The sequence below is a fragment of the Homo sapiens genome, chromosome 7 (assembly GCF_000001405.40).
Source record: "Homo sapiens chromosome 7, GRCh38.p14 Primary Assembly".
Classification (NCBI taxonomy): Eukaryota; Metazoa; Chordata; class Mammalia; order Primates; family Hominidae; genus Homo; species Homo sapiens.
The window spans coordinates 1003793-1022438 of NC_000007.14; the positions used below are offsets into that span (position 1 = coordinate 1003793).

The 18646-nt window shown below is 61.8% G+C and overlaps 1 protein-coding gene and 1 long non-coding RNA gene across 23 annotated transcripts in view; one reads left to right on the forward strand and one right to left on the reverse strand.

Annotated features, from left to right (window-relative positions):
- The window catches only part of CHLSN (cholesin), a 160294-nt gene that overhangs the window by 25829 nt on the left and 115819 nt on the right, over positions 1-18646 (reverse strand). For 15 of the 22 annotated variants that reach the window (NR_156697.2, NR_188533.1, NR_146966.2 and 12 more), the window contains one exon: positions 6158-6351. Coding sequence is in view for 8 of the 22 variants with exons in the window: in NM_001424326.1 (NP_001411255.1) it covers positions 6158-6351 (194 nt within the window). In the remaining 14 variants the exon portion in view is untranslated. Of the gene's footprint in view, positions 1-6157; positions 6352-6439; positions 6509-14127; positions 17800-18646 lie in introns of those variants that run through there. The other 7 variants (NR_188524.1, NR_188523.1, NR_146964.2 and 4 more) reach the window with 7 other exon arrangements.
- LOC124901570 (uncharacterized) lies at positions 367-2279 on the forward strand. The gene is made up of 3 exons (XR_007060184.1): positions 367-620; positions 997-1653; positions 1996-2279. It is a non-coding gene; the product is annotated as an uncharacterized LOC124901570 (long non-coding RNA).

The window sequence follows — 18646 nt, forward strand, 5'->3', positions numbered from 1 at the left end:
TCCTGTGGGTTTGGAGTCCTGTGGGTGGGGAGTCCTGTGGGTGAGTGGAGTCCTGTGGGTGAGTGGAGTCCTGTGGGTTTGGAGTCCTGTGGGTGGGGAGTCCTGTGGGTGAGTGGAGTCCTGTGGGTGAGTGGAGTCCTGTGGGTGGGGAGTCCTGTGGGTGAGTGGAGTCCTGTGGGTGAGTGGAGTCCTGTGGGTGGGGAGTCCTGTGGGTGAGTGGAGTCCTGCGGGTGGGGAGTCCTGCGGGTGTGGAGCCCAGCTGTGCAGCTGCTAGGTGACACGCCAGCCCCATGTGCAGTGACGCAGGGCTCCTGCGTGATGAGAGGGGCCTCCAGGGAGGTTTAATTTTAGTTCCTTTCTTTTTAGACAGCCCCTCGTCGTCTGCTCCCCGGATGGCCGACCCGGCCAGCGTGGGCCCCTGTGAGGTGCACCCGGGCCAGCCAGGCCATGGCATCTGCCTGCTGGGGGCTGTTTTACTGCTGCAGGGCAGAAGTTGGCATCTCAGCTCTGCCACTTTCTAACTCTCCCACCTTGAGCTGCTGCTTTCCACCAGCCTGTTTCCTCCTTGGGAACGTGGAGTGGTGACCCCACTTCACGGGTGTTCCCAGAGCCCACGCACGGTGAGTCAGTCACAGCTGCTCTGCACACTGCCCTCCCATGGGGCCCGAGGCCACAGCACTGCTGGCCCACGGCACTGCTGCCTACGGCCCTGAACCAAGGGCGCCTCTCTCTCACCGAGCCCCCACCAGGCAGACTTCAAGCCAAGCCCATCTCCCTCACCACCGAAGATGAGCCGTCCCGCTCTTGGCCTCGTCACTGGGGGAGCAGACACAGCGAGGGGCGGGTGGGGTGCTCAGTGTCGCCTGTGGCTCCCACGGCACTGGGCGAGGCCTCCTGAGTGATGGCCGCCTCTGCCACCCACCCTGGGGACTGGTCCCTGCGCAACTGCAGACAGTTCACAGGATGCCTGACACAATCCTCTTTCTCTCTGCCTAGGTGGGGCAGCAGACAGGAGATCCCATCTTGGAAAAGGAAAGAGAGCAGTCAGAGGGAAGTCCCTTGTCCCCAGCATAGCGGGGGCCACGGCCACTGCAGGGTCATCTGTCCAGAGCTGCCTAGAGCGTCCCAGAGAGAAGAACCTCCTCCCCTGTGGTACTCACCAGCTGGGTGGAGAACCAGAGTCCCTGCTAGCCTACTGGGCTTTAAAAAAAAGCAGGGGCGGCTGGGAACAGTGGCTCATGCCTGTAAGCTGAGCACTTTGGGAGGCCGAGGGCGGATCACAAGGTCAGGAGACTAAGACCATCTTGGTTAATACGGTGAAACCCTGTCTCTACTAAAAATACAAAAAATTAGCCGGGCGTGGTGTCGGATGCCTGTAATCTCAGCTACTCAGGAGGCTGAGGCAGGAGAATCGCTTGAACCTGGGAAGCAGAGGTTGCAGTGAGCCGAGATTGCACCACTGCACTCCAGCCTGGCGACAGAGTGAGACTCCATCTCAAAACAAACAAATCAACCCACAAAAAGCGGGGACTTCTTGCTGAACCCCCTTCCAAAAGAAAACTGAGCGAGGGTCTCTATTGAGACAGCATCTGAAGCCGGCCCGCAGCCACAGCGTCCACGTGCTCGTAACTGCACCAGGAACTGCCAGCCGCGGTGAGCTGACGACCCAATGCCCATGAAGGCCCGAGCGGGGCTGGCGCGGACAGGGGCCGGGTCTCATGGGTTGGCCGCTCCTCCCATACTTGGAGCTGGGCTGTCCCTCGGCAGCGGGGCAGTGGGCCTGGGTAGGGAAGGACACCCAAGAAGTGTCCCCTAAGCTCCGCTGATGGGACAGTTTGGCCTCTGCTCTGGCCTGTCATTCCAGGGTTCCAGGCCCGGAGGCCACGGGGTGCAAGGAAGCTAAGACACCATGCTGTGCTGGGCAACATGGGGACCTGAGGAGGGTGGGCTTGGGCTGCCCCACGGCAGGAGTGACTTGCTCTCGTCCTCCCGCAGGTGAGTGGGGGACCCCGTCCCGGCTGGATCCGTGTGGCCCGGGTCCCAGTTCCTCTCTCTCCTGTGGGGGCACCACCTCCCGCCTCGAGCAGACCCAGGCAGGGGGCCGGCCCCCGAAAATGGTGAGCTAAAGCCTGCAGGGACCAGGGAGGCAGCGGTCACCTCGCCACCTGCCCCCAACGTGAACACCCAGCAGGCGTGTTCTTTTCTTTTTTCAGTTATATGGAAAGTAAATCTTCAATTTCCTGCGTTAAGCATATAAATAAACTCTTTTTTCTCTTTAATGAGGAACAGGCTTGCCCGCTGACAGCCGTGTGCCTCGCTCGTGTAACTACCACAGTGGACCCAGCAACCCAGAGACCCACAGAAAGTGGAGGGACTGCTTCCAGCACTCCCAAACTTCCGCCTATGCAAGGCCAGAGCAACACGGCTCTGAGCTGGAAAAACAGAGCTGGGTGACCAAGCCTGGGGCCCCTGCTGGGAAAACGAGGGGACAGTCACAGCACAGGGAAAGAGCACACGACGGCCACAGTGCAGGGAAAGAGCACACGACGGTCACAGCACAGGGAAAGAGCGCACGACAGCCACAGCGCAGGGAAAGAGCGCACGACGGCCATACTGCAGGGAAAGAGCGCACGACGGCCACAGCGCAGGGAAAGAGCACACGACGGCCACAGCGCAGGGAAAGAGCACACGACGGCCACAGCGCAGGGAAAGAGCGCACGACGGCCATACTGCAGGGAAAGAGCACACGACGGCCACAGCGCAGGGAAAGAGCGCACGACGGCCACAGCGCAGGGAAAGAGCGCACGACGGCCACAGCGCGGGGAAAGAGCGCACGACGGCCACAGCGCGGGGAAAGAGCGCACGACGGCCACAGCGCGGGGAAAGAGCGCACGACGGTCATACTGCAGGGAAAGAGCGCATGACGGTCACAGCGCAGACAAAGAGCGCACGATGGCCACATTGCAGGGAAAGAGCACACGACGGCCACAGCGCAGGGAAAGAGCGCATGACGGCCACAATCCCCCATCCCACCCTCTGGACCCTCCTCTCCCCAGCCCTGCTGCACAGCTCCCACCAGCCCCAGCTTCACACAAAGCCAGGAGCACCCCAGGAAGGCTGCAGAGAAGATGAACCCTTGAGATGCAAGAACAGCCCAGGGTATGGTCACAGGTCACAGGCCAAGGTCACCGTGTGGGGATGCTGCCCAGCCTGCGACCCGGGTTCTAGGGACGGGGCATGAAGACCCCACGGGCGCTGGGTCGACGTGTCTTGGGGGCAGAGCCTTCGGGGGATCTGGAGGGGAGACCCCCAGGGCATCCTGGAATGGGTGGGGTGCCTCCCAGAGAGATGAGAGGAAACTCTCCACCATGAGGGCTCACCAGAACAATCCGGGGTCTCCTCCACACACAGCCCACCTGGCTGCAGATGGCTTTGCCTCCAGGAGGAACCCCTCGTGGAAAGCCCATAAGATGGCCATGGGCCACGGCGGCCAGCATGTCCTTCCTGAGTCCCAGTCCAGGGCCTCTGCAGGGGGAGGACAACTCGGGCACCTACCTTCACCGCTGCCCCTGGGCTGGGGGCTCTGTGGTGGGCCAGCCGTGGCGTGGCCAGTGGTCCCCAGCAGCCCCCAGGCTGAGGACACTCCCCTGTGGGAATCCCCGGGCTCCCTCTCTTTGGAAAACCCTGAGTTGCCAGGGATACCGTGGGCTCCACACATCCACGTGGGCTCTGATCTGGCAGCCAGATGCGGCTGGGCTTGCGGGCACCCTTGGAGACCCCCAGGAAAGAGGAGAAGCTCCTGCCGGGGTGCCCGTGTCTGTGGCTGGCCTCCTGGTGTGTGGATCCCAGGCCTTGGAAGAAGCTCCTGTGGGAAGGGGCTGCTTTGTTTCTGAGAAGTAAGAGTCCCCCCTCCTCCCACACGCAGGACACAGTGCCTCCGCACAGGACTTGCCGCTGGGGGGTTGCGAGTAGCATGAGGGGGCCACGGGAAGGTCCCAGAGGGGGAGAGGAGGGTGAGGCTGAGGACAGGAGCAGGGCATGCTCCCAGGCACTCAGGACCTTCCCGTGGGGTGCTCGGAGGGTGTGTGATCATGGGAGGGGAGTCAGGGCGCCTCCAGGGTGAAGACCAGGGAGTGGCAGCCACGTGGTGGAGCGGATGGTCCCCCCTCTCCTGCCCACGTCCCCAACGTCCCCCTTGTCTAACAGTCCACACTGAGAGCAGCGGAAGGTGCTGGCAGGCCTGGGGAGGAAGGCGGACAAACCCCGCCCACCCCAGGCATCAGGGCAGGTCCAGAACAGCCACGCCCCGAGGCACCTGCCAGTGGAGACAGGCAAGGTGCAGGTGGCACAGCTGCAGGCCCCAGTCGCCCTCTGCCTCCCACAGGGAGCCTACAGTCCATTCCTGCGGCTGGCACCTTCCAGGCCTGTGTCCACCTGCTCTGCCCAGCCCACACCTTGCCCACACCTGGGCTCGAGACGCTGCACTAACGGCCTCTGAAGCCCTCTCTGTCTACAGCGACTGACCCTGCGGTGGCTTGTGGCCCTGCCTGCAGAGAAGCAGGAGCAAGCGCAGGAGGCAGCAGCCTCACACCACAGCCAGCACCTTGGGTCCCCTGGGCCAAGCGCGTTCTTGGAGCAAGAAAGAGCTCTTGGGGTAGCCCTGGGCACCTGGCCTCAGCCCCACGTTCCTCAGGGAGAGGGAAGCTAAGCCTCCCAGAGAACTGACCAGTGCAGAGACCCATGATGACTCAACTGGTTCCAGCCGGATCCACCCAACGCTATGGCTGAGCTCATTCTATGACCCCCAAGGCAGCCTCAGCTCCGAGAAACAGGAGGCTTGCCCCCATCCCCATTTCCTGAGCCCGGCGCTGAGCCTGGTGCAGGGCAGCCAAGAGCCCCTCTCCTGTAGGTGGAGGACCGTCCTGGGGATGCACACACAACACACATGTCCACACATAAACACACACGTGCATAAACACACACGCACACACGCACATGTACACACGTGTATACATGTACACACGCACATATACACAACGTGTATACACACGCACACACGTAAACACACGCACACACGTGTACGCAACACTCGTATACACATGCACACACGTACACAACACACGTATACACATGCGCATACATGCACACGCACACCCCCTCATGCGAACACACATGCGTGCACACACACCCATGCGAACACACATACACGCACACACACACACATACACATGCACACACGTACACACATGCACACACGTACACGTGCACGTGCACGCAGCGTGCACATCCACGCAGGCCCCGCTGCTCATTCCGCTAGCTGCACAGCCACACTGGGGGTCATCTCTCCGAGGAGGTCATCTCTCCGAGGGCCTCCCACAGAGGTGCGGCTGGAGCCTGTCCTCCCAGGCAGGGCCAGTGCCCCCACAGGACACCCTGCCCCTCAGGGTGACTTCATCACAGGGACCCAGTTCTTGTCTCTGAGGAAGCCAGCCACGTGGACGCCGTGACACCCCTTATTCTAGGTGCAGTCAGCACTCAGGGAGACGGACAGGAACGGGCAGCAGCCTGTGCTGGTAAGCGCCGGGGAGGTGGCCACAGCCCGCAAGGCTGTGGAGCCCACGCCAAAGCCTCTGACCCCTGCAATCCTGCACCGTCCACCCAGCCACGCCGCAGGCACCATCCACCCAGCCACGCCGCAGGCAGCCAGGGAGATGGCACCCTGTGCCCAGCACCCCACAATCCCCGTCTTCCCGCTCTTGGGTGGCAGTGGCGCCTCCTGTCACTGTGAGTGAGGGCTGAAGGCCACCACGAGTTCCCTCCTCCTCACCCCCACGTCCAAGCAGCACCCAGGCCCGTGGATTCTTCCTGTGGTGACGTACACCTGGGGCAAGGTTCACCATCAGACCCATTTCTAAAAGCACAGTTCCAGGCAACCCCTGCACGGGCAGCGGCTCTGCTGCCGCCCCTGAAAGTTCCTGAAGGCTCTGGGCCATTCAGACAGAAAGGGCAGCGGCGGCAGCACAGGCCTGGCATGAACGCTCATACCTCACTGCTCTAGAACCTTCCACACAGTGTGTGCGAGTGAAGGCTTCGACCCCCTCAGGCAGGGGTTGAGACGCACGTCCGGGACAGAACCGCGTGGGGCAGGGCCGCTCACCTGCAGAGGTAGTCCAGGGCCAGTTCGGCCCCCGAGCGCCTGGCAGGCGGGTGCTGGGCCACAAGGCCTGCCTCCCGCAGACGCTGCCTCTCCTCTTTCTTCCGTTCCTTTTTCAGCTTCCTTTCCAGGACCCTCTGCTCCTCTGGGGACAGCTCTGGCTCTGCGTCCAGCCCGGGCCTGAGCACAGCTTCGCCCTGAAAGTCAAGGAACACATTAGGCTTCGGGGATGGAGGGTATCCAGAGACGGGTGCGCTGCCTGGGGCTTCCCGAGCCCACCCTCACCTCAGTAGTGGCCAAAAGCTCTGTCCCCAAGCACTGGGTCTGGCCCCAGCCGACACCATCCTGCTAAGCCTGTGCTACGACGAAGAGACAGACAGGTCACATGAGGATGGCCAGTCCTGCGGGCAGGCGCCAGGTGCCAGGATTAACTGCCCAGAGGCCCCTTCCCCACCCCCGTGGTCCACCTCCCACAGACTCCCGGCTCCCGAGGCTCTGTGAGGTCCTGCCCCACCCCACACAGTGTGGGAAGATCCGGGCCGGCCCCCAGGGAGGGCTGAAGGTGTGCTGGTGTCTGTTATCACACAGGCCAGGTGCTGGCCCCAGACCCGACCCAAATCCCGAGGACGGTGCCTGGGGCCTGCTGCTTTCTGGCAGGTCACTGGCTGCCTGGCTCCCCCTGGGCTGCAGGCTGGGGACAGGGAGGGGGCCAAGACCCCCAAGGGAGGGAGAGGGCCCGCTGTGACAATGTGTCCCCAGCCACATCTTGCCAGGAAAGCACAGGCCCTCCGTCTTGCCCACCCTCCCCTCATTAACAAAAGAAGAGGACGGTGCAAAGCGTCAAAGCCGGGGCAGCCGGGCCACGGGGTGACCATGAGGTGACCCCAGCCGCTGTCCACATGCTTCGTCTTTTTTGGAAAAGTCAGAACATCAGTGTAGACTCCGAGCAAGGCCAGGAGCCCAGGGAAACAGCTAGGGGCGTGGGAATCAACCAGGCAGCGCCCACCGGGAGCTTCCAGGAAGGGAGGCCGGGCACAGCCCACGCCTACGCATCCCACCCCAGGGAGAGCAAAGAAGAGTGAGGCAAGCCCCCCTACATACAGATATATATGCAACCCACCCCCCCGACACAGACACACACATTCACAGACTTCACCCCTACAGCCAAACACAGCCCCCAACCCTCACCCATGTACCCACACCGACCCACACCCACCCACACCCACCATACACCCACACTCACCCACCCACACCCACAGACACGGACACATACCCACACCCACAGACACCCACATACCCACCCACCCATACCCAACACACCCACACCCAGATACCCACACATAGACCAACACCCACACGCCCAGACACCCCCACATGCCACACACCCACATACAACCACACACACCGACACCCACACACATCCAACAAATCCACAGACACCCAGACACCCACAGATACCCAAACACCCACAGACACCCAGAAACACCCACACACCCAAACACGCCCACAGACACCCAGACACACCCACACCCAGACACACCTTCACACGCCCAGACACCCTGACACACCCACACCCAGACACCTGCAGACACCCACAAACACCCAGATACCCAAACACACCCAAACACATCCACACACCATCCCAACATACCCACAGCCACACACGCCCACACCCAGATACACACCCAGACACCCACAAACACCCAGATACCCAAACACACCCAGAGACACCCACAGATGCCCACACACCCAGACACCCACAGATACCCACACACGCCCACAGACACCCACAAACACCATACACACACGCCAACACACCCACAGCCACACCCCTAGAGCCTGCCAGGGGTCCGCAGCAAGAGACAGGGCCTGGGGGACGAGGAGCACCGTCCCTGGCAGATGCCTGGCACAGAGAGGCTGAAGAGTCCCGGTGGGAAGGCCTGGGCCGCCCACACACACAGGCAGGAAGCTCTGAGACCCACCAGGCCAGGCACGCAGGGCTCTGGGGAGCAAGATTTTCATGGTGGGGATGTGGACACCCCCAGGGGAGCCTGGTGACTGACCGGCTCCAACCAGCTCCATGCTCACCTCCTAGGCCCACAGCCGCCCACAGCCGCCAACGGGGCAGGCACAACAACTGGCCCTGAAAGGTAAAAACCCTCCTGGCACAGGCCCAGCCTCGGCCCCCACTCCATGGGCCACGCAGTCCACGGCTGATCACACGGGCCAAAGTCCATAACACTGTTAGGGCTGCACAGGGGCCGCCGCGGTGGCCGAGGGTCTGTCAGCCCACATGCGTGGGGCACCCGGACAGGCCCTGAGCAGGTGGGCAGGGCCCTGTGGTAGGGTCCCAGGTTGGTGGCCAGAGTGGTGAGGACGGGGCCAAGGCTGTGGGCAACAGCAACGTGGGCGCTGGCCTGGGGTGGATGGCGAGGGGAACCCAGGCCGTCCCATATCGGGGCCAAGCCGGGGACCCGCAGGCCCAGCTGTTTCCCGCAGGCTTCCTGAGCGCCCGGTGCAGGGCTGCTTCTTGTGTCAGGCACCAGCCTGGATGCTGCGGAAACAGCTTCCTTCACACCCACTCTTGCTTCTGGCCACCAGCGCTCCCGACCTGGCAGGAGTCACAGCCCAATTCCCGTGTCCCCGAGGGAGCCACTGTGGCCACGAGGTGGGAAGCTCAGGAGTGCCACCCACTGCCCTGGGCTGTGCCTGACACTGGCCGGTGCACCTTTAACTTTTCCAAACTCCTGCTTTCTGTGCTGGGCCTCAACAGAAGACGCAGGGGCAGCTGGAGTGAGGGTGCTGCGCCCGGAGAGCCAGGGGCCTTGGGGGTGCCCGGCTCCACTCTGCGCCATCGGCTGCCCCGTGCTCGCGCTCGCTGCCTTGGGGGTGCCGGCTCCACTCCGTGCCATCGGCCGCCCTATGCTCGCGCTCACTGTCCTGGACCAGGCAATTCCCCAAGGCTGTGACCACGACGTGAGCGACCTCAGCTATCTTGGGATGACACAGGCGGGCCCCGGGAGGGTGTGCAGCTGGAGGGGGCGGGAGGCAGCAGGTCCAGGCAGGCTGGAGGGCACAGGCCGCGGCAGGTCGTGGGGAATGGGAGCAGCGCGGGAGGGTGGTGGGGCCGCCAGGATCGGGCGTGGTAATGCCGGGACCTGCTGCTTGCTCTGCTTGGCCTGCACAGTGTCTGGCCCGGAGAGCACAGGTGAGCAAGGTAGGACGGCTGTCACCCACAGACGAGCAGCGGAGAACTTTCTCTAACTGCCACCCACGTGCCGACCCTCCAAAGAACGCGGGTTTCACTAGCAAATAAGAACGTGGGTTTAATTAGCAAATACTTTTAACAAACTTGACACTATCACATAGAGCTCCCAAAGTTGCCCCAAGGGCTTGTAAATTACCTAAGTACACACCAAAAAATTTTTAAAAGAATCCCAGTGTCAAATAAAAGCCTGTGAGGGCCCCTTCTAGGGACTTGAGTTTCAGGCCTAGGATGCAAAGCCTGGCGCAGCAGCCAGGGGTGACTCCAGGCTCCTGCCGGCTCCAGGATTCTGGGAAGGGGCAGACTTTGGGCCCCCTGGAGCCCCTCTAGGCCCAGTGTCCACCCCACAGACCCTGCAGTCTGGGGCCACTCTTCTGGGAGAGGTGTTGTGGGCGGCTTTGAGCCGACGCTGTCAGGGCAAGAGTCTCTCTCCTAACATGAAGGCTTTCCAACACAGATGGGACGGGCCTCATGGAAGGAAGCACCGGCCTGTCACAGACGTGTGATGTCTAAAGCCGGCGTCTCTGGACCATCCCAGGGCAAGCAGAAAGTCGTACAAAAGTACAGTCACCCTATCTCAATGCTAGGACAGTCTTCAGCATTTCAGACTTGATGAAATACAGACACTCATATGAAGTACAGAAAAATAAAAATTCCAGCCACACATTCTGTCTCCTGCGGTTAGATGTCTTGAGGATTACATTTGAAAATGCATAAAACAATTCAATGTGCATGAAAAGCTTTACGCAGGACCTGCACCCACACAGATAAACTGCGACCCCGAGGACTGGGATGGGGAGGCGGCCAGCGGGCCTGTCACTGCACCTACGCTGTGTATTTCACAACATGGACACTTCCACAGGCTACCTCAAGCAACGCGGCACTCGTGCAGTCAAACATGAAATCCTTACCATCAGGCAATGAAAATGTTCACTGTACTCAACAAATACACTGAAAACAAACCACAAAGCCAAACCCTACAGGCTGGGAGGAGCAAAGTGGATCAGCTGCCACAGCACCTTCCAGAGAAGAGAGCCGTGAGATTCTTACAGAGAAGCTGACACTGTTTGAGAAAATACAACTGCATGAAAACTATGTTTTTCCTTTATGCCTTTAACTCCTGGCAAGAGACACAGAGAAGAAATGACACTAATTTGATTTTAAAAGGTTCCCGTAGACTCGACTGAGGCAGCAGAGACCCAACAGCTCCTTTCCGCCCACCCCACCCGTCCATCTGTGTGACACGGGCCCTGTGTGAGCCGTGCTCCCCAGCGTGAGGCTTCGCCACAACACACTGGCTCTTCCTGGAGATGTCCAAGGTGGGTAACGTGCTAGTCATACCCCAACAAAAAGAACTGGCAAAAATAAAAACCATCATCATTTCCCAGGTTTGTGAATTTAAGCCAACAGGAAACGTGGGACAAACACGCGGGGCTCCATAAAGCCAGCCTGGCACTGGCTCTGGCACCAGGTCCCTGGACTGGACACCAATCTCCACGGTTCCGAATTTTCCTAAGTGATGACTGTGAACACCACATGCACAGAAACGAGCCCTGAGAAGGGGGCCACATTGGCCGCCGGCCACGGCAGCGATCCGGCCACGGCAGCGTTCCGGTTGGTGTCACCCTGTCCCGGCCTGAGCCCAGCTCTCAGATCCGAGCACCAATTCTGTCTACAGCCCCTTCCTGCCTGCGGGCCCTCCCTGCCCTGCAGGGACGGTGCAGTGAGCACAGGTGTGCAGGCTGTGCGGTGAGAGCCCCAGGGCTGGGAGGAGCAGGCAGCCTTGGTCCAGCAGGTCCTGTGTGGGGGCCGCGTTGCCGGGCAGGGCCTGACACGGCTGCTGTGGGCTCTGAGAACAGCCCAAAAGGACAGTGACCCCTGCCCAGTCTCTCCAGCCTGGGAATGACCTTCCCCAGCCGTGGCCTCACACCAGGGAGGTGTGATGGGAAGTGACCTGGGTGGCTCCTGGGTCCCTGCTAAATTGTTTGGGGGGGCTGAGGGGTGAGGAAAGAGAGGTGGGGTCGGGAAGAGGCGTGGCCTCCCTGTCCCTGAGGCATGAGAGCAGGTGTGGGCTCCCCGTCCCCCGGGCATGAGAGCAGGTGTGGGCTCCCCATCCCCCAGGCACCAGCAGGTCTTTGTCAACCTGAGGCTCAGGGAGGAATGTGCAAGTCCCTGTCTCATGAACAGGGTTTGGGCCATCGGAGCCCCTGCAGAGGCTGGGTTCATGCAAGCTGTCAGCTGCCAGTGCCCACAGGCATCCACGCCGCTCTGGACTCAGGGTTTAGAAAAAGTCATCTGTTCCAGCCAGACCTTCCTGTTTCCCCCCAAGTCTAAGGGAGCAGAGCCTTCACCTAAGAAAGGAGGGCAGAGTGGGGAGACCCAGGGCTGACCCAGAGGGCAGGGAGGACCCAGGACTGACCCAGGAGAGCAGGGAGGACCCAGGACTAACCCAGAGGGTTGGTGGGCGGGGCCAGGACTAACCCAGAGGGCCAGAGGGACTGAAGCTGCGGCCTGTGGGCCCCTAATGCCCAGCCCTCGTGGAGGCACCAAGGCAGGAGCGCATCCCAACACCCAGCCCGGGCTTCCTCGGTGGGCAGCTCCTCACCCACGGTGAAGCGAGGCCAAAGGTCATCGAGTGCTGACCGCCACTCTCCTTCCTCCAGGGGCCCCTCTGTGAGCAATGCCCATGTGACACTGATGTCACCTGACCAGACGGAAATACTCCTGACGCCCCTCAGTGACCCTGGACCGGCGTCTGTCTGGGCAGGACCATCTAGTGTCTGAGGTGTCACATGAGGATCCCAGACAAAACACGCTCCCCCTCCGGTGTCACGCCAGCACACAGCAGCACACGCCAGCGCACAGCAGCACACAGCAGCGCACAGCAGCACACAGCAGCGCACAGCAGCACACAGCAGCACACGCCAGCACACAGCAGCACACGCCAGCACACAGCAGCACACAGCAGCACACGCCAGCACACAGCAGCGCACGCCAGCACACAGCAGCACACGCCAGCACACAGCAGCACACAGCAGCGCACGCCAGCACACAGCAGCGCACGCCAGCACACAGCAGTGCACGCCAGCACATAGCAGCACAGCAGCACACAGCAGCACAGCAGCACACAGCAGCGCACGCCAGCGCACAGCAGCACACGCCAGCACACAGCAGCACACGCCAGCACACAGCAGCACACAGCAGCGCACGCCAGCACACAGCAGCGCACGCCAGCACACAGCAGCGCACGCCAGCACATAGCAGCACAGCAGCACACAGCAGCGCACAGCAGCACAGCAGCGCACAGCAGCACACACCAGCACAAAGCAGCGCACGCCAGCGCACAGCAGCGCACACCAGTACACAGCAGCACACAGCACCACACAGCAGCGTACAGCAGCGCACGCCAGAGCACAGTAGCGCACGCCAGCGCACAGCAGCACACAGCAGCGCACAGCAGCACACGCCAGGGCACAGCAGCGCATGCCAGCACACGCCAGCGCACAGCAGCACACAGCAGCACACGCCAGCGCACAGCAGCACACGCCAGCGCACAGCGCACAGCAGCGCACAGCACACAGCAGCACACAGCAGCACACACCAGCGCACAGCAGCGCACAGCAGCGCACGCCAGCACACAGCAGCACACAGCACACAGCAGCGCACAGCAGCACACACCAGCGCACAGCAGCACACGCCAGCGCACAGCAGCACACAGCAGCACACGCCAGCACACGCCAGCGCACAGCAGCACACGCCAGCACACACCAGCGCACAGCAGCGCACAGGAGCACACAGCAGCACACAGCAGCGCCCACCCACGCACCCTGGTCCTCTGCTGTGCATGTCATTGAGGGTGTGGGGTCTGCGGAGAGCCCGGACCACTCGGAAGCCTTGGTCTGAGGGCCACGCGGGCCCAGAGCACCTCAGGCTGTGGGCATTGGGCCTCTGCCTCTGGCCCCAGGCTCAGGCTCCCTGGGGAAGTGGTGGCCGTGCTGCATCAAAGAATGGCAGAGAAAGGACCCACTGTCTCTCAGAGGGAAGATAAGGAGCTCCCTGCTCAAATTGGAGCTGCGGGGAGGGACGCCACCAGCCCAGCCTGCCGTGCCCTGCTGTGCGGGTGAAGGGGCTGCAGGGAAGGACACCACCAGCCTGGCCTGCCGTGCCCTGCTGTGTGGGTGAAGGGGTCACCTGGCCTGGACCCCGTCCAGTAGCCATGCAGGGGATGGTGTGCATGAGGCAGGCGCTGCTGTCCTACGATGTCAGCCGGGTGACGGGGCCAGGGCTCCAGTGTCGCTGCCATCGGGCCCTTGGGGAGCATCCCTGGATGGCAGGGGAGGTGGGGAGGGCTCCACACAGCGGGGTGGAGGACAGCGAGACAGCTACACACCCTCCTGCACCTTCTTCTGGGGAAACAAGACACGGACTCAATGCTTACGAACTTTCCTGGAGGGGAGACTTCTCCAGTGGGATCACCCCAACACGTGAACTGACTGCCGCGGGCAGCCGCGGACGGCGGGATAAGGGGCAGCCGCGGACGGCGGGGAAGGGGCAGCTGCGGACGGCAGGGTAAGGGGCTTCTCTGCCCCCGCCCCCCACTGCACACAAGGCCAGGCGCTCTGGGGCCCAGCATCCAGGGCTCAAAACCACACCCGCCTTGGTGGGATGGCGCCTCGCCTTTCCCATGCTGCGGTAGGAACACCCCATGTTTGTTCGGTGCATTTTATTTTCTAAAATGTGGCAGAAAGAAAATAACTCCAGCAGGTGACAGAAGACCTAGTAGAACTTAGCCCAAATTTAAATAATGACCCAAAGTCCCCACGGGGCTCAGACGTTCCCACACCCTAGGCAGAAATCCCCACTCACACGAGCACGCATACACACGCGTGCACACATACCCCTGCCATCATCTCTGCTCTCTCCATTGAGCCCTGGCTAAGCACCAGCTCCCACCAGGCAGGAAGCACAGGCCCAGGACACGCACACTAGGGCTTGGCGGGTGGGGTCCAAGTCAGGAAGTGAGAGCCGAGGCCCTACAGGAACAGGGGGTTGCCCCTTCAACAGGTAACCCATATAAAAAGTGACTAACGAAAGCACGTCTTTCTTCTCACTCCACAGCTTTGAAACCAGTGTGCATTGTACACGTGGAGCCATCTCAGACCCAGACTCAAAGTCCGCCTGGCTCCGGCCATCAGCCTGTGGCGTCTCAGAGCCTGGCCCCGAGCAGAGAGGAGATGTGATGAGGAGACATGACGAGGGAGTCGTGATGGGCACACCCATGGCCAGCAGGCCCAGCCTGTGCCTCTCGGAGGTCCGCACTTCCTGCCCAGTGGGAGCAGGCACCTGGCGTGGGCTCCAGCTGAGGTGTGCACGCGGGCGGGTGGGGTCCAGCCCAGAGTGTGGTCTTTATGTAAATCAGGGTGGAGCTCAGGTGCACTGGCTCACACATGTTAATCTGAGTGCTTTGGGAGGCCAAGGTGGGAGGCTGGCTTGAGCCCAGGAATTCGAGACTGCAGTGAGCTGTGATCACACCACTGTACCCCAGCCTGGATGAGAGTGAGACCCTCAAAAAAAAAAATCAATAGATCAGGGCTGCGCCCCAGGTCTTCTACCTCGGGGGTGGGTGATAGGCTCGTCCAGCTGGTGGTCCCAGGACAAGCTCTCTGTCCCTCCCAGGTGTTCCATAGTCTAGGACAGTGCAGGAACTGCAGACTTGTCAAGAACTGGGGAGTGGTCCGGGCGTGGTGGCCGAGGTGGGTGGATCATCTGAGTCAGGAGTCCGAGACCAGCCTGGCCAACATGGTGAAACCCCGTCTCTACTAAAAATACAAAAATTAGCCGGGCATGGTGGTGCACGTCTGTAATCCCAGCTACCCGAGAGGCTGCGGCAGAACTGCTTGAACCCGCGGGGGGCAGAGGTTGCAGTAAGCCAAGATCGCGCCATTGCACTCCAGCCTGGGCAATAGAGTGAGACTCTGTCTCAAAAAAAAAAAAAAAAAACGGGGGGGGGGGAGTGAAAGGGAGGGAGGAAGAGGGTGAGGGTTTGGAGGGGCCCAACCAGGCCCACCTGTGGTTGCATGGATCTCTAGCCACCTGCAAAGCCAGAAGGTACCTTGAGCTGACAGGTCCGTGTTGTTCAATGGTTCTATAGGGAAAATCCTGCCCCCATGCCAGGTTGTTGATCACCCACGGTCAATGCTGGAAGGGGCAGCTGCTGCTCTGGGCCAGAAGGAGAGGCTTCCTGGCACCGTGAGGAGGCTGGCCTGGCTGCTCACAGCTCCCGGCAGAAATGCGGAGCGGGGTCCTCACTGCAGCACCCGGGCTTTTCAAAACAGTGAAGCCCTGAGTCCAAGAAGGCAAACCACAGAGCGGAGGTGGCCGTGGGGCTGCCCTGTGGGCAGAGGGGAGGCTGCGCAGGCCTAGTGGCTGCAGGAAGCTCCAGTGGCCGCCAAGAACCTCCAGGCCCATCACCACGAGGAGGGCCCCCACTGCAGCCAGGGCTTCCAGATGGGCAGAGGCGGTGGGAAGCAAGCAGGAAGCGGAGACTGGTTGGCTGTGGCCCTGACCCCTCTTCTCCTGATGGAGTGTGGGGGGCTGGGGCTGCCTGGGGTCACCCACTCAGGTCTCTCACTCCTGCCCTCCCAGGAAGTGGACAGTTCCCACAGCCTGGACCCAGAGGCCCGCAGGCACTGACCGCGGCCCGGAGGCCAAGCTACAGTGCGTTTCCCGAGGGAGGCCACGGGGCACCTGGACGAGGGCAGCTTAGGACGCTCGGCTCTCGTCTCAGGAATCCCAGGGCAGAAGTCCAGCGAGGCGGCAGGTGGCCGGCCCGTCCCCAGCCTCTCTTCCCACTGAGGAGAGATCCAAGGGCCGGCGGAGTGGTGGTGTCTGCTGCTCTGCGGGAACACGGGCACCAGGCCCAGCAGTGCATGGATGCGGCAGGCCCCGCGTGCGATGCCCTGGTCCCCACGACTGTTTCTTCCCACGCCGCGGAGTGCATTCCCTCATGCTCCCGTCCTGTGAACACGCGCTGCAGCCTCTGCCCTCCTGGGGCTCCCTGAGAGAGGGGGCACCCCTTGCTCCCATCACAGTCCTCCTGCAGCCTGGGGCCCCGCCCAGCACGCCCACCAAAGGGGAGGCCCGCTCTCCTGTCAGAGCCAGGACAGCCTCTCCAAGAACTCTTCCTGGGCCCCAGAGAGGAGCCCCCTAGGTTCGCTTCTCGCCAGCCGCTGCCCCATCTTGCGTCTCCACCCAAGGGCCCCTCGGCGCCCCCACCTGGAGCCCCCACTATCGAGATATGTCTGGCGGATACCACACACAAGGGGGCTGTAGCGGGTTGGGGAACAGGCCAACCCCTCCCAGACTGCAGGGACAGCTAGTCTCACACAGCTAAGACCAAGATGATGTAAGGAAATGAATGACAGTAAACCCAGCCCTTACCGAACCCACCTCCCGAGCAGGGAGGACCTGCAGGAAACAGAGGCTCCCATTCCTGTTCACCTCTGATCTCAGGGGCAGACACCAGCCCATCACTGCCGTCTGCTGACCACCCCTGCAGACGGCCTGGGCCTTGGATGTCCTGCTCCTCTGGGCTCCCCAGGCTGTGTGAAACGGAGGAGTGCAGGGGTCAGGACCCCTCGACTTTCTTGGGGGCAATCAGGCCGTTTGTAACGTCCTGATACAGCAGAGCTGGGGACTGGGGTTACGAAAGACACCACCAGGTGGAGCCTTCAGATGGGACCTCCCAGCAGGGCCTCCAGGCTGGGGACCTTCAGGCAGGTACCTCCAGGCTGGGGACCTTCGGGCAGGTACCTCCAGGTTGGGGACCTCCCAGCAGGGCCTCCAGGCTGGGGACCTTCAGGCAGGCACCTCCAGGCTGGGGACCTCGCAGCAGGGAACTCCAGGTTGGGAACCTCCAGGCTGGAGACATTCCAGTAGGGACCTTCTGGTTGGGGATCACCAGGTTAAGAACCTCCAGGTTGGGGACCTCCAGACTGGGGACCTCCCAGCACGGACCCCCAGGTTGGGAACCTCCAGGCTGAGGATCTCCCAGCAGGGACCTCTAGTGTGGACCTCCAGGCTGGCACCCATGGGGCAGGTTTCTTTCTTCTTCCCCAGAAGCCTTTTCATCGTGGCAGTAGGACCTGACCTTGACAGAGATGATATTGCGGATTTCAGTGACTGAACCAGAGTCGGAAGCTGAAGGGCTCTGCCCAGCCTTCCTGTCTTCATCCATTAAGTCTGATCGGCAGTGGTGGCCACCTGGGCTGCTGCTTTGACAAGATGCCAGTAGTTGGAGCTGGGACCCCAGGGAGCACTGTCCATCCACCGCACAGGAGTAGGGCTTCAGCAGCTGTCAGTCATCAATCATTTCCCCATGCTGTTGGATGGGAGAGGGACAATCTGCCAGCCCCAGTGTGACTGGCTTTGCTGCCACCGCAGTGCCCTCTGGGAACCCCGGCAGGTCGGCTGGAGGCAGGACACCACCCCCCTAACCCCTCCCTACTTGTCACCAGACAGAAACCACAGCTCACCAACAACCATACACAAACAGCGCACTAAAAGAAAGCATGCGGCAAAAATACCCGCCCAGCGAGAACTGTGCCTGGCACAGGGAAACACACTGGGATGCGCGCCCTTCCGCGGGGCGAGGCTGGGTTTTGGGGTATAAACTGAGTCCTGGGGAGCAGGAGCCTGAGGGGCACCCAGGGCAGCTCCCTCGGCCTGGGTCACAAGGTTCGATCCTCCGCGGGGGTGGCAGGAAAGCCCAAGTCCCTCGGCACACCCAGGTGACAGCGATGACGGCCCACAGGCGTGGCGCCTGGGCCACATCGGACAGGCCATGTCCTGGAGCACTCGAGGCCCCCTGGACAGGGCAACCAACCCTGAGTCCACCGGAGTCTGCTCGCAGACCACCAGGAGCCCCGCTGCACTGTTCGTGAGCCACGGTGGTGACGGCAGCTCAGGAGGGAAGGACCAGAAGCCTGGCCCCGTCCCACGAGGACAGACGCAGGCCTGCGGGGAGGCATGTCCCCACCCACGGGCGCCTCCTGGACCACGAGCTCCTCTTTCTCCTGCATCGCCTCAGACCCCACCCAGGGGTTCCAAGGTCAGGAGCCTGGTCCCACGTCCCACAGCCCTCTCATGGGGCACCCGTACGGATTCTGTTCCAATTTAAAGAAAACCTTAATCAGATTTGTCACCTCAATTATTAGAATCCCACGGCG